Genomic DNA, 15,720 nt, shown 5'->3' on the forward strand with positions numbered 1-15,720 from the left:
AAATTTTTGTTGGTTAGCTAACATTTCAGGCCTTTATCTTAAGTTCCTAAACTCATCCAACATTGATAAGTAAAGAAATTCATTCGCCTTACCAAAAAAAAAAAAATGGGTGGGGGAGCGGGGGGCTCACATGACCTAAAAGATATTGAGAATACATTGGTCATAGATCAATAATCCAAAGAATGTAATGTTTTGTCCAACGTCACATAGATCAGTACAGAGATGGTTCTAGGGCTCAGGACTTCTATTTTCTCACTGACCTTTTATCTCGAAGCGTTCAGTGAACAAAATTGTGGAATGGTCTTCAGTGGCTACAAAACTGATTTCAGTTGAATTAGACAAATATTGGAAAGCCTAATAGGTGCCAGGCATTTTGCTAGGCAGCAGTAATTGAAGGGCTTAAGTTTTATCACTTTAATGTGTGGGGAACTTTCCTTGAGTTCTAAATGAAAAAATAAAACTACTTTTGCCACACTTTTCTCATATTCATAATTCAATTATGACCATGTCCAGATGGGCAAATTTCTTAATTTTAAAGCTCTAAACTGAATATTTCATCAATGTAAAAAAGCTGTTAAAATTTTCATAACATGTGGCCGGGTGTGGCAGCTCATGTCTGTAATCCCAGCACTTTGGGAGGCCAAGGTGAGCGGATCACTTGAGGTCAAGCGTTCAAGACCAGCCTGGCCAACATGATGAAACCTCGTCTCTACTAAAAATACAAAAATTAGCCAGGTGTGATGGTGTGTGCCTGTAATCCTAGCTACTTGGGAGGCTGAGGCACAAGAATCACTTGAACCAAGGGGACAGAAGTTGCAGTGAGCCGAGATCATGCCAGTGCACTCCAGCCAAAAAAAAAAAAATCATAAAAATGTGATTATATGTTAATTAAAAATTAATTTTAACTTAAAAAATACATTAAAGCCATTATCAATTTTTTTTTTCCCAAAATGGTCTTATTTCTTCTGGTTATATTTTAGTTAAAGCTTAAAACTTAAGTGTACTATCTGAAATATACTATTTACTCTTTCCTTAAAAGACCAGATTTTGACATCTATTTATATCACTTCTGGTTATGAGGTTTAGAAATGTTCTGTTACCAAATAGCAAATTTTAGTTTTTAACTATAGGCAACTCTTTTAAATATTCTTGGCAAATTTAAAGGAATTAGACTTTATTCAGAGTAATTCTTCATTGCAAGAATAGTAAAGGAGTTACTTAAATTACTTGCCTTAAACCTTTGGACACTGTGGCTTAGTTCTTCTTCTATCATCATCTTGGCCTTAATCACTTATTGTTTAGATCATCAACAAGGAAATGCATCATTGCTAACTATAGAATTAATTCTACTTTGTTTTGGGTCTTCTAGTATGGTGATGGATTCAGTATATCGATATTTTAGTTAATTATTTGCATCTATACTCATGAGTTTTGGGGGCTATTTCTATCAAGTTTTGGTATGTAAACCATGCTGGCTTCAAAAATTGGAGGTTTTCCATAATTTTTCATAATTATCTATGAATTAGACCAGTTCAAATATGTGAAATTGTCAGTTCTTTGTAGGTTAGAAAAATGTCAGCAGTCGAAAAATCACTCAGGTTTACGCCTTTTAAAATAGTATTTCTCCAACAATCTTTTCAATTTCTTCTATATTCATTAGTCTTTCACTGTTTACTTCCTTTTCTTGAGTTACTTGTGTTAATTCATATTTAGCCATAAACAGTTTTATCTGGAGTTTCAAATTTATTGCCACTGAATTACAAATAATCTTCTCTTTAAAAGGTTTTCTTTTTAATTCTTCCATGCCTGTGTTTATATTCCCTTTCTCATTCCTGAATTTATATATTTTACTTTTTTTTTCCTTTTTAGTTAATCAGGCTTACTAATCTTTTCTAAGAACCTAGGCTTGGTCAGGCATGGTAGCTCATGCCTGTAATCCCAGCATTTTGGGAGGCCAAGGTAGGCAGATTGCTTGAGCCCAGGAGTTTGAGACCAGCCTAGGTAACATGGTGAAATCCCATCTCTACAAAAAATAACAAAAAATTAGCCAGGCACAGTGGCACATGCAGGTAGTCCCAGCTACTCTGGAGGCTGATGTGGGAGAATCACCTGAGCCCAGGGAGGTGGAGGCTGCAGTGAGCTGTGATGGTGTCACTGCACTCCTGGGTGACAGAGTGAGACTCTGTCTCAAAAACAAACAAACAAACAAAAAAAACTTTAAAAATCTGTTTTGCAATTTCAAAATTTATCATCATTAAATCTCTGTTCCTACTTGTTTTTGTTTTGTTGCTCTCTTTTTCAGTCTCTTCATTTGAATTTTTAAATCACATGTTTTCATATGTACCTGTTTTGAAAATAAGCAAATGTTTTAAACACTCAGGTGGGAGGGGGAAAAGAGGAAAAAAAACCATTTTTTCCTTTGTACTTTTCTTTGTCATTTGACTTCTTGCCAAAATATAATCTTATCTTGCCTCTGTAGTTTGACAGAAAAACAAAACAATCAGCATATTTTTAAATTTGTGATTTATTATCTTAGGTCCCACAGAAATTGTGGTGGGTAGGGAAGAAAAAATCTTCATCTCTCACAATCATTCAATAATCAACCCACTATAAAATTTGTCTCCACTCGAACATTTCCATCCCTTCTTGTTCCCATGAACACTGGCATCTATGCCCAATCATGGACGGTTAATTTCTGGCTAAACTGTGGGATATTGGAAACATTTAGTGTAAATAAAATGAAAATCTATTTCAAAGTGATATTACAAATCTCACAAAGCTGTGAAGTGATGTTTCAGGAATTACTGAAAAAGCCTTTGACTAAAGACAAATTCAAGAAGGCTTATATATAATACAATAGGTTCTTCAAGAGAGAATATTTTGAATACCAAAATACTTAGAGTTAACTTTGGGAAAACTGATGAAGTATGAAGTTTGCAAATATTTTTGGAAAATCAGCACTTTTTGGTCATTTCAGGCAAATCAAATGTGAAGTGAAAGATGTCAAGTCAGGCTCTCTTATGTTGTTGGGGTTTTTTCTGGTGCTTACAAAAGCCAACACAATTCATTCTTTGTTCATTCCAAAAATTATGGCATAGTTGACATATAACTCCATTTTCTTAAATATCAGATGGTATGAATTTATTTTAATAACTGTTAATATTCAAAGCTTTTTCTGTATTTATGATAAAATTTGTTTTCACTATAAATATATTCAATGTAATAAAGTGTTCTTGTACAAATTATCCCATTATTACACTTAGCAACATTCCCAGAAAGTTTAGCAACCTTCCCAGAAACCATGTGAAAACCATTTTTTCCTTCTTCTTACAATAGAATAAAATGTAAAAAGGAATGAAGAGAGAAGGCATTGAGAAATAATTTAACTGCTTCCTAGTCCCTCCCAACTAGGCCTTTCTCACATTGCTTTATTACCAGTTTTTAGTTGAGTTCTGAAGACAATGGGCAAAAAAACCTGTAATACCATATCAGGAGCATAGGTCCTGGAGCCAGCTTGCCTTCATTCATGTCCCACCTTTACTATTTACTGACTGTGTAGTGTTGGGCAAGTTAACCATTCCCTATGCATCCTTATCTATAAAATGCAGACGATATTAATTGCGCTTGCTCCTTATGACGTTATTACAAGGATTAAGTGAGTTAAAATATGTAAAGTTATTAAATCAGTGCCTGGTATGTAGTAATAAGTTTCCAATAAATTTAGCTGCTGTTTTTATTCATATATTCATGTTCAAATGCCAAGTATAAAAGCACGTACCTTCAATTGTGTAGTATCATTAATTATCTTCGGTTGCCTTTGAGTGGTTTCATTGGAACAGATAAATAAGAGTTAACTGTAATAGTTGCTCAGGAGTTTTATCATATTTTGTTTACCAAGTAGAAAAATTAACACTAAACAATATTACACTTCCAATTATTTAATTTGGTTATAACAATAGATGATAACTTGATCTTGAAAATAAAGATTATACTCTAAAAAAAGGTTATAAATAAATATTTTTCTATTCCAACAATAGCATCCCTATTATTTTTCAATCTGTTGTTTTTCTAATATAAAACAATTTAGTTTTATATTAGAAAAAATGTAATTCCAAAGAACAGTGGAAATATCTGACAAAATGATATTATCTTACTCTTTCTGTACTAAGAGAAGACAGTAAAATCTTAGTGATACACATGATCCTTTGCTATTAAGTATAAAAATACCATGTAATGGAAGGATGAGGTCAGAAAAAAAAGTATGGAAACACTGGAATTCAACTGTTTACCAGGTGTACAATAAAAATGGCAAATATGTTTGCACCTGTGTGGACAAATCTATTCCTTCTGTCTTTTTCCATCCCTTCTACTTATTGTTTTATTCAAATACATTAATTATGGCAACACCAAAGCTGTAAGTTGCTTTTAAAATCTAGGTTTTATTTTCCTAGATGTCATATTGGTATACCGAATCTATTCAACTGTACCTGAAAATGTTTTGATTGATTATTTTAAAACATACCCTAATAACTTGTTTCAGAGGCTCTAGGTTCTCTCTGGAATTTTTCTTTTTTTGAGACAGAGTCTCGCTGTGTCGCCCAGGCTGGAGTGCGGTTGCGCAATCTCGGCTCACTGCAAGCTCCACCTCCCGGGTTCACGCCATTCTCCTGCCTCAGCCTCCCAAGTAGCTGGGACTACAGGCGCCTGCCACCACACCCGGCTAATTTTTTGTATTTTTTTTTTAGTAGAGATGGGGTTTCACCGTGTTGGCCAGGATGGTCTCCATCTCCTGACCTCGTGATCCACCCGCCTCGGCCTCCCAAAGTGCTGTGATTACAGGCGTGAGCCACCATGCCTGGCTGGAATTTTTTTTCATATATGCTTTATTTCTCCCACCAACCTGTCTTTTTTCCAAATTCCCAGGGCTACGAGTATAACATTCTGACTGGTTAGAAAATAAAACTATTCACCCATACATTTGGCAAATACTTAATAGTGACCTATGTGCCAGACAAAACAGTCATAATCTCTGCCCTCATTGAGGTAAGTTAAGTAAATATAAATAAATACATAGTTACAAACTGCTACAAATGAGAAGGAACATTTTCTAATTAAATTCAGAAGGTCAGGAAAGGCCTCTCTCAATATGAGGAAGCTATTGCAATAGTTTATGCAAGAGATGGTGAATTGGCCTTGGATGGTGCCTAGGTAATGGAGAGAAGACAGCAGGTTTGGGTTTTATTTTACAAGTAAAATAATAGGACTCTGACAGTTTGAAAAAGAGGGATGAGAAAGAGGGAGGAACTAAAGATGACTCAAAGGTTATGACATGTACAACTTTTTGGATGGAGGCACCATTTACTGAACTGGGGAAAATTAAAAAAGAAGTAGATTTTCAAGGGGATTACATAGAGTTCAATTTGGGATATGTGTACTGTAAGATGTTTGTAAGGCATTTATATTGAAAGGTCAAACGAAGATTTAGATATAACAGGCCTGAATCTCAGAAGAAAGGCATGTGCAAGATCAAGTTGAGCTGCTGGGATTTAAACAGATTAAAAGCCACAGAAGTAGATGAAGTTGCCTAAGACCAGAGTGTGAGTTAAGAAGAGAGGAATGCTTACAACTAATTCTCAATTACTTTCAACATTTAGAGATTGGATAGGGATGGTCAAAAATGTCTAATTTGACTAAGAAATCAAATAAAACATGATGAATTAAGAGTTATTATTCCCATTTTCCAAAGGAGAAAACCTAGGTTTAAAGAGGTTAAGCAACTTACCCAAGTTGACACAGCAAGTAAGTCATCCAGACACTAGATGCAAACCTAGGTATGTGTGGTACCAAAACTTTATTCATTTCCTGTGCCAAATTGTCAGACATACTACTACTCTGAAATTACTGCTTTTCCATCTGCTAATTTAGGGCTATATCTAACATGTTCCTCTATCAATGTAGACATTTATCTGTTCCCTAAAATATGCTCACACTATGAGTTTAGTCACCAATAAGAATACATCAGTAGAATGCATAATTGTATGCCCTATATTTGCAAATAAAAAATAAATAATTTTTCCTGGAGAAAATAAAAGGCTTAGCCTCATACTCCCTTGCAGTGTGGAATTAAATAAGTCATTAATTTCTTTGAGCTATAGAATCCTCATCTATAAAACAAGCAAAAGAATACCCATCTCACAGGATTGCTGAAGATTAAATGGAATGACACATATTAAAATGCTTGTAAACTGAAAAGTGTTTTACAAGTAGCCATTTTTATTATTATTATTATTTTCATTTCCAGGGTCATTATATGCTGCTTCTACCAAAAACACTGAAGTTTTCTAATCCCACAATTCATCTCTCTAAAACAGCATTATAACATGATATAAATACAAAAGAGTTTACTTATAGTTAAAGAAGGTACATTAGGTTCAATATATAAAACGAAATGAGCGATCATTAAAACTAAAATAATTTCTAAATAAAATGCTTTCACCTAAACAACTTTTTAAACTTTTCTGTGACATTTCTCATTTTTTATCCCTTAAAATAAATAATTTTCACATAATTATAATAGTTTTAATCAACATTATTTTATATCTCTATACCATTCCACATGTCTAGCTATCTTATGTTTATTATAATGAATGTACAGTGTTTCACAGAAATAAAACCATAAATTGTTAATAAGTACTGACCTATAATTGAAAATTTAAAGTATTTTCAGATTTTTGCATTTAAAATTAATTCTGCTATGAACATTTCCTTGCACATAGCTTTTTGTTTCACTTTTAAATTATATTCCAAATATTGGTATGCCAGCAATGTTTAACAACTGCCATCTTTGAGGTCGAGGAGAGGAGGAACAGGAGAAGCCCCAATTTGTCCCATTTGCCAGCTTATGTAGTGTACATACTACAACTGAGAGGTGAAGCCAGCTGGACTTCCTGGGTCGAGTGGGGACTTGGAGAACTTTTCTGTATAGCTAGAGGATTGTAAAATGCACCAATCAGCACTCTGTATCTAGCTGGAGGATTGTAAATGCACCAATCAGCACTCTGTAAAAACACACCAATCAGCGCTCTGTGTCTAGCTAAAGGATTATAAACACACCAATCAGCCCTCTGTAAAATGGACCAATCAGTGTTCTGTAAAATGGACCAATCAGTGCTCTGTAAAATGGACCAATTAGCAGGACATGGGCTGGGACAAATAAGGGAATAAAAGCTGGCCACTCCAGCCAGCAGTGGCAACTGGCTTGGGTCCCCTTCCATGCTGTGGAAGCTTTGTTCTTTTGCTCTTCACAATAAATCTTGCTGTTGCTCATTCGTTGGGTCCGTGCCAACTCTAAGAGCTGTAACACTCACTGCAAAGGTCTATGGCTTCATTCTTGAAGTCAGCAAGACCAAGAACCCACCAGAAGTAACCAACTCCAGACACATAACCATAGCCAATTTCAAGCTCCAATGGGCATTCAAATACTTAAATCAAAATCAAGGCAAGAGTACCTGGAAGAAATTATGTTAAGTGAAATAAGCCAAGCATGAAAACACAAACATCTCATGATCTGACTTACACATAGAATCTAAAAAAGTCAAACTCATAGAAGCTGAGAGTAGCATGGTAGTTATCAGAGGATAAGGGACATGGGGAGGATTTGGGGAGATGTTGGTCAGAGGATACAAAATTTCAGTTAGACAGGAGAAATAAGTTCAAGAGATCTATTGCACAATATGAAACTATAGTTAATAACAATGTACTGTATACTTCATGTATGCAAAGAGAGTAGATTTTAAGTGTCCTCACCACATAAAAATAAATGTGAGATAATGGATATGTTAATCAATGTGATTTAGCCATTCCACAATATATACATATATCAAAACATCACATTGTACTCTACAAATATATACCATTCTTATTTTTCAAATAAATAAATAGAAATCAAACCAAGAGCAATATTGATCACAAAGCGAAATTTAACAAGTAGCAACAATCTTACAAGATAAATACGAGCCAAAAACTTCCCATGCCCTTTGACCCTTTAACTCTATCTATTCTATTATTATTCTAGTAAAAATGTAGCCTTAGGGTCAGCGGCAGCTGGAGCCTTCTGAAACCGGCTAATTGTTAAATTGTATATGCTGGAACCACACAAATAAGCCCACATAATAACCAGCTAACAGCACAATGACAGGATCCACACATACCAATACTCACCTTGAATGTAAGTGGGCTAAATGCCACAGTTAGAAGGCACAGAGTGGCAAGCTGGATAAAAAACCAAGACCCAATGGTATGCTATCTTCAAGAGCCCCATCTGAGATGTAATGACACTCATAGCCTCAAAATAAAGGAATGGAGGAAAATCTACCAAGCAAATGGAAAACAGAAAAAAGCAGCAGTTGCAATCCTAACTTCAGACAAGACATATTTCAAACCAACAAAGTTCAAAAAAGACAAGGAAGGGCATTACAGAATGATAAACGTTTCAATTAAACAAAAAGACCTAACTATCCTAAATATATGCACCCAACACAGGAGCACCCAGATTCATGAAGCAAGTTCTTGGAGACCTAGCAAGAGACACAGACTCCCACACAATAATAATGGGAAATTTTAACACCCTACTGACAATATTAGACAGATCATCAAGGCAGAAAATTAACAAAGATATTCAGGACTTAAACTCAGCATTGGACCAAATGGATCTAATGGACCTTTACAGAACTCTCCACCCAAAACCAACAGAATATACATTTTTCTCATCCTCACGTGGCACATACTCTAAAATTGACCACATAATTGGACAAAAAACAAATGTCATCAAATGTAAAAGAACTGAAATTATACCAAACACACTCTTAGACCATAGCACAATAAAAATAGGAGTCAAGATTATGAAAATCACTCAAAACCATGCAATTACATGGAAATTAAACAACATGCTCCTGAATGACTTTTGGGTAAATAATGAAATTAAGGCAGAAATCAAGAAGTTCTTTGGAAATGACAAGAACAAAGATACAACATACCAGATTCTCTGGGACACAGATAAGGCAATGTTAACAGGGAAATTCATAACACTAAATGCCCAAATCAAAAAGTTAGAAAGATCTCTAATAACCTAACATCACAACTGAAAGAATCAAAGCAGCAAGAACAGCTCCCTCCCCGTCCCCCTCTCCCTCTCCCCACGGTCTCCCTCTCCCTCTCCCTCTCTCTCCACAGTCTCCCTCTGATGCCCAGCGGAGGCTGGACTGTAGTGCCGCCATCTCGGCTCACTGCAACCTCCTGCCTGATTCTCCTGCTTCAACCTGCCGAGTGCCTGTGATTGCAGGCGCACGCCACCAGGCCTGACTGGTTTTGGTATTTTTTTGGTGGAGACGGGGTTTCACCCTGTTGGCCGGGCTGGTCTCCAGCTCCTAACCGCGAGTGATCTGCTAGCCTCGGCCTCCCGAGGTGCCAGGATTGCAGACGGAGTCTCACTCACTCAGAGCTCAATGTTGCCCAGGCTGGAGTGCAGTGGCGTGATCTCGCCTCGCTACAACCTCCACCTCCCAGCCGCCTGCCTTGGCCTCCCAAAGTGCCCAGACTGCAGCCTCTGCCCAGCCGCCACCCCGTCTGGGAAGCGAGGAGCGTCTCTCCTTGGCCGCCCATCGTCTGGGATGTGAGGAGCCCCTCTGCCCGGCCGCCCAGTCTGGGAAGTGAGGAGCGCCTCTTCCCAGCCGCCATCCTGTCTAGGAAGTGAGGAGCGTCTCTGCCCGGCCGCCCATCCTCTGAGATGAGAGGCCCATCGTCTGAGAGGCGCTCCCCAGCGCCTCTGCCCCGCTGCCCATCGTCTGAGATGTGGGGAGCGCCTCTGCCCCGCTGCCCCATCTGGGATGTGAGGAGCCCCTCCACCCGGCAGCTGCCCCGTCTGGGAAGAGAGGAGCATCTCCGCCAGGCAGCCGCCCCGTCCAAGAGGTGGGGGACAGCCCCCGCCCGGCCAGCCGCCCTGTCCGGGAGAGAGGTGGGGGGCAGCCCCCGCCCAGCCAGCCACCCCGTCCGGGAGGGAGGTGGGGGGCAGCCCCCGCCCGGTCAGCCGCCCCGTCCGGGAGGGAGGTGGGGGGCAGCCCCCGCCCGGCAGCCGCCCCGTCCGGGAGGTGGGGGGCGCCTCTGCCCGGCCGCCCTGTCTGGGAGGTGGGGGGGCCCCTCTGCCCGGCCGCCACCCCGTCTGGGAGGTGTACCCAGCAGCTCATTGAGAACGGGCCATGATGACGATGGCGGTTTTGTCAAGTGGAAGAGGGGGAAGTGTGGGGAAAGGAAAGAGAAATCAGATTGTTGCTGTGTCTGTGTAGAAAGAAGTAGACATGGGAGACTCCATTTTGTTCTGTACTAAGAAAAATTCTTCTGCCTTGGGATGCTGTTAATCTATGGCCTTACCCCCAACCCCTTGCTCTCTGAAACATGTGCTGTGTCCACTCAGGGCTAAATGGATTAAGGGCGGTGCAAGATGTGCTTTGTTAAACAGATGCTTGAAGGCAGCATACTCGTTAAGAGTCATCACCACCACTCCCTAATCTCAAGTACCCAGGGACACAAACACTGCGGAAGGCCGCCGGGTCCTCTGCCTAGGAAAACCAGAGACCCTTGTTCACATGATTATCTGCTGACCTTCCCTCCACTATTGTCCTATGACCCTGCCAAATCCCCCTCTCCAAGAAACACCCAAGAATGATCAATAAATACCAAAAAAAAAACAAACAAACAAACAAAAAAAACAAAACGAAGCAAGAACAAATCAACTGCAAAGCTAGCAGAAGATGAGAAATAACAAAAATCAGAGCTGAACTAAAGGAAATCAAAACATGAAAAACCACTTAAAAGATCAACAAAATCCAGGAGCTGGTTTATTGAAAAAATAATAAAATAGATAGGCCACTAGCTAGACTAATAGAGAAGAAAAAAGAGATGATCCAAATAAAACACAATTGTAAATGATGAAGGGAATGTTACCACTGACCCCACAGAAATAAAAACAACCACTTCAACATTCGGTCAAGTTGTATTTCTTTTGATGATATCATATCTTTGCAACGTTATACTTTTGGTGGTTGCTAGGATAAAGTACAAATACCTTGTGAAAATCAGTGAGGAACAGAAAATGAAAGTTATGATGTCCAATCTGATTCCAAGGTTTGAGAAGTTATATAGTGCCTAACAGGCATACATATCCCATTAGCAATCGTGTTAATTTAAGAATAAAATAAAAACATTATATTCTATTTCAATTTATGTATTTTTTTAATGGCTACTAAGTTGTTAGAACACAAATACTAAGTTGTTTAGATTTAACTACTTACTAAAATGACTTATTTGGGTTTTTTGTTTGTTTTTTGTTTTTGTTTTTGGCTTCAGAGACCATGAAAAATTATGGGGACAATAAGAATGCTGTGAACTGAAAAGTTTAGGAGTCTCTAGCTTAGGCATCAAACTCATCAAGAAGGAATAATGGGACTCTAGATGCTAAGCACCAGAAAGTACAGCCATAAAAAAGTTAAAAACAAATATTGTATTGAAAATATGAAAAGGAACTAAAGAGCAGAATTACCACATGGGACAAATAAAAATATGTAACCATGTATTTAGCACTACTTGTAACACTAAAAGAATGGAGACAACTCAAATGTCCAGAAATAGAAAGGTGTTTGAATAAACAATGATAGAATACATGATATAATACCATGCAGCTGTCAAAGGGATGAAGAATATTACTATACACTACTGTGGAATGATCTCCAGTATATAATATCTGATAAGAAAGTCAAAGTGGCAGAAAATATGTATAGTATGTCATTTGTCTAAACAAAAGGGTATTATATGAATATATATTTAAAAAGCATTTGCTTATAAGTAAAAATACAAGATAATATAAGTGATACATTGTAATTATAAATAATTATAATTAAATAAACAGTAATAAATAAATACATGGCCAGGCACAGTGGCTGACGCCTGTAATCTCAGCACTTTGGGAGGCCAAGGCAGGCAGATTACTTGAGGTCAGGAGTTCAAGACCAGCCTGGCCAGCATGGTGAAACCTCATCTCTACTAAAATACAAAAATTAGCTGGGCATGGTGGCCTGTGCCTGTAATCCCAGCTACTCAGGAGGCTGAGGCAGGAGAATCACTTAAACCCGGGAGGCAGAGGTTGCGGTGAGCAGAGATAGCGCCGCTGCACTACAGCCTGGGCAACAGAGTGAGACTCTGTCTCAAAAATAAAATAATACATTTAAAATGATTACTAGACATCAAGTTTTTACTTAAGGTATAAAAAGCCAGAAAAAAAAATCAGTCTCCCACTTTCAAAAACACACACAAAAAAATGGATGATCTGCAAAATCACAGCTTTTCTTGAACACATCAAAAAACTGAGTTTATGCCTTTGATCCCTTATCGCCAACATATGCCACCAGATGTCAAACAACTCAGAAAGAAAAATTCAGCTAAAGTTTTTAATGAATGCTAAAAGTCAGAGGTAAGCTTGTGTGAGAGTACAGAAGCCCTGGGAGCCACAGATACAAGGGGAATTCGCAACCATATTTATAAATTATATAAAATTACACATAATTTATATAAATATTATAAATTTATATAAAAATTATTATAAATTTATATAAAATTATAAATATAATTATTATATGTAATAATTATATAAAACCATATTTATATACTATATAAAATTGAAATAATTTTTTTAATGCTCATCATCACTGGTCATTAGAGAAAAGCAAATCAAAACCACAATGAGATACCATCTCATGCCAGTTAGAATGGAGAGCATTAAAAAGTCAGGAAACAACAGATGCTGAAGAGGATTTGGAGAAATAGGAATGCTTTTACACTGTTGGTGGGAGTGTAAATTAGTTCAACCATTGTGGAAGACAGTGTGGTGATTCCTCAAGGATCTAGAACTAGAAATACCATTTGACCCAGCAATCCCATTACTGGGTATATACCCAATGGATTATAAATCATTCTACTATAAAGACACATGCACATGTATGTTTATTGCAGCACTATTCACAATAGCAAAGACTTGGAACCAACCCAAATGTCCATCAATAATAGACTGGATAAAGAAAATGTGGCACATATACACCATGGAATGCTATGCAGCCACAAAAAAAGGATGAGTTCATGTCCTTTGCAGGGACATGGATGAAGCTGGAAACCATCATTCTCAGCAAACTATCACAAGATCAGAAAACCAAACACTGCATGTTCTCACTCATAAGCAGGAGTTGAACAATGAGAACACATGGACACAGGGAGGGGAACATCACACGCCAGGGCCTGTCTGAGGGTTGGCGATGGGGGAAGGATAACATTAGGATAAATACCTAATGGAGGTGATGGGTTGATGGGTGCAGCAAACCACCATGGCACATGTATACCTATGTAACAAAACTGCACGTTCTGCACATATACCCCAGAACTTAAAGTATAAAAAAAAGAAAAAAGAAAAATAATAGTTTTTATAAACCATTGAACAAAGAAAACTTTAGGCACAGATAAATTCACTGGAAAATTCTATATAATATTAATAGAAGAAATAACATTAATTCTACAAAAACTCTTCCAAAACATAGAAAGGAAGTATTAAAATAATAAATCGGAAGGCCATTACACTGAAGCAGCTCTAGAGCTGAGTGCCTACCTAAACAAACCAAAAGCTAAAAGGTTATATTCTAGGTAAACAGAACTTAGCTTAACCAATCAGAAACCAACAACTAACCTCTAACTAGGGATTTTCCAATGGAATGATCCAAATAAGGCTACTGGTCCACTTTAACCAATCAAATATTTTCTTTGCCTTGCATCCATATTTGAATCTTTGGGAAAGAGGTGGACAGTGGCACTCATATGGAATAGTTCTAGAAGAAGCCAAGATAATTTCGATTAACCTTCTTTATAGCTGTCAGACTATGTGAAGATACAACAGGCATGGGCAGCATATAAAACATCTTTCATTGGTGACATTCACAAACCACACTGACCTCTAGATTGTAAAACAGAACTACCAACAATGAAATTTTCAAATCCAACTGGCAGGAGAGCAGTGGATTGGAAAGAAGACGAATATGCTTAGATGAGGCATGTGAGGCACCTGGGCAGAAAATTTAAAGAGCACTTACTGCAGGACCTGAGAGTCAGTGCATCTTCAAATTTGCACCCTACCACACTCACCACATCCTGTTTCAGCCCTGCACAAGAGCTCCAAAGTGAAGTTGGCTGCAAGCGTCAGGGAGGCCTGATGTCCGCATTCCACAGCTTTGAAGCAAAGCTTGAGAACCAGCCTTATCTCAAGTAAAAAGGATTTACTAATCTCTAGACCAGTACTTGGAAACTCTGCCATTTCCCTTGAGAGACCAAGACCAGCCTGATGTGCTTTGTTACTAGGGCGACAAAGCATTCTCCCTGCGTTCTCCCTGCAAAGAGTTTATGGTAAGGATCCAGTAGTTCCTTTCCCAGATCCTAGAGCCTTGTGGAAAACATCAGTCCAATATCTCAGGCCCTGTCACCTTCTGGCAGAATTATTGATATAAATCACCTATTTAGACTGTGATATTACCTCTCCTTTGACTTCACCCCCTTGGTCCTACAGCCTACCTTACTTCCCCCTCTCCAACCCCCTCCCCCCACCGGCAATTACCAGCACTGTCTACTTGCTGAGATTTCCCTTTGGTCTGCTAGTCTACGCCTCTTAGAAGAGTCTGTAGTTGAGTCTGTCTCCTTTCAAATGACTTCCAGTCTGTCCTACCCATCAGAGTTAACAGAACCATCCAATCACTGTGACAACCAACAGTACCTCCAAACATTTTTTCAAGCATCAGCTAGGGAAACCCCTAGCTCTGTTGAGAATCACTGGAAGAGAAGACATAGTTTCCAGTTGTATGGTGGGCTGCAGATGGGCAGTCCTGAGCCAGTTAGGCATGACACATGGTACTAGCTAACCCCAAAGCTGACTTCAAGCAATGCAGAAGTTAGAGCAGCTGAAGGAGGAAATAGAAGCAAATAGATAAATATTTTTTAAATAAGACAAAGTGTGAAAGCACTTTTAAGACAGTTTAGCACCATACTAAAATTATTATCACCACTTTGTTTAGTACTATTTTGTTTAGTACTATGTTGTCTTGGGCAGCCCTTGTGAATAAACAAAAACATCAGAACCTGGCAGAGCCGTAAGCAACAGCCCACTTCCCAAAACGGGGTGAACAGCTGTAGACCAATCAGCGGTGTTGGGTGTTTCCGGCTACTCGATGTGGACATGATTGTGAGTCAGAACCAATTCAAACTTTAACCAGAGCTCCCACTCTGCCAGACACTATAATAGAAGGTGGGGTACAAAGAAGACCAATAGGCTAGGATGCTCAGTCTCATCAGCTTTACAGATAAGCCTCACTATTACCTCTAAACAAAGTGGAAGCCAGTCCTGGCAGCGCACACCTATAACCCCAGCATTTTGGAAGGCTGAGGCGGGCAGATAGCTGGAAGCCAGGACTTTGAGACCAGCCTGGCCAACATACTGAAACCCCATCTCTACTAAAAATACAAAAATCAGCCGGGCATGGTGGCACACACTTGTAATCCCAGGTACTTGGGAAGCTGAGGCAGGAGAATAGCTTGAATCCAGAAGGCAGAGGTTGCAGTGAGCAGAGATCGCACCACTGCACT

The sequence above is a fragment of the Homo sapiens genome, chromosome 2 (genome assembly GCF_000001405.40).
Source record: "Homo sapiens chromosome 2, GRCh38.p14 Primary Assembly".
In the NCBI taxonomy this organism is placed as follows: domain Eukaryota; kingdom Metazoa; phylum Chordata; class Mammalia; order Primates; family Hominidae; genus Homo; species Homo sapiens.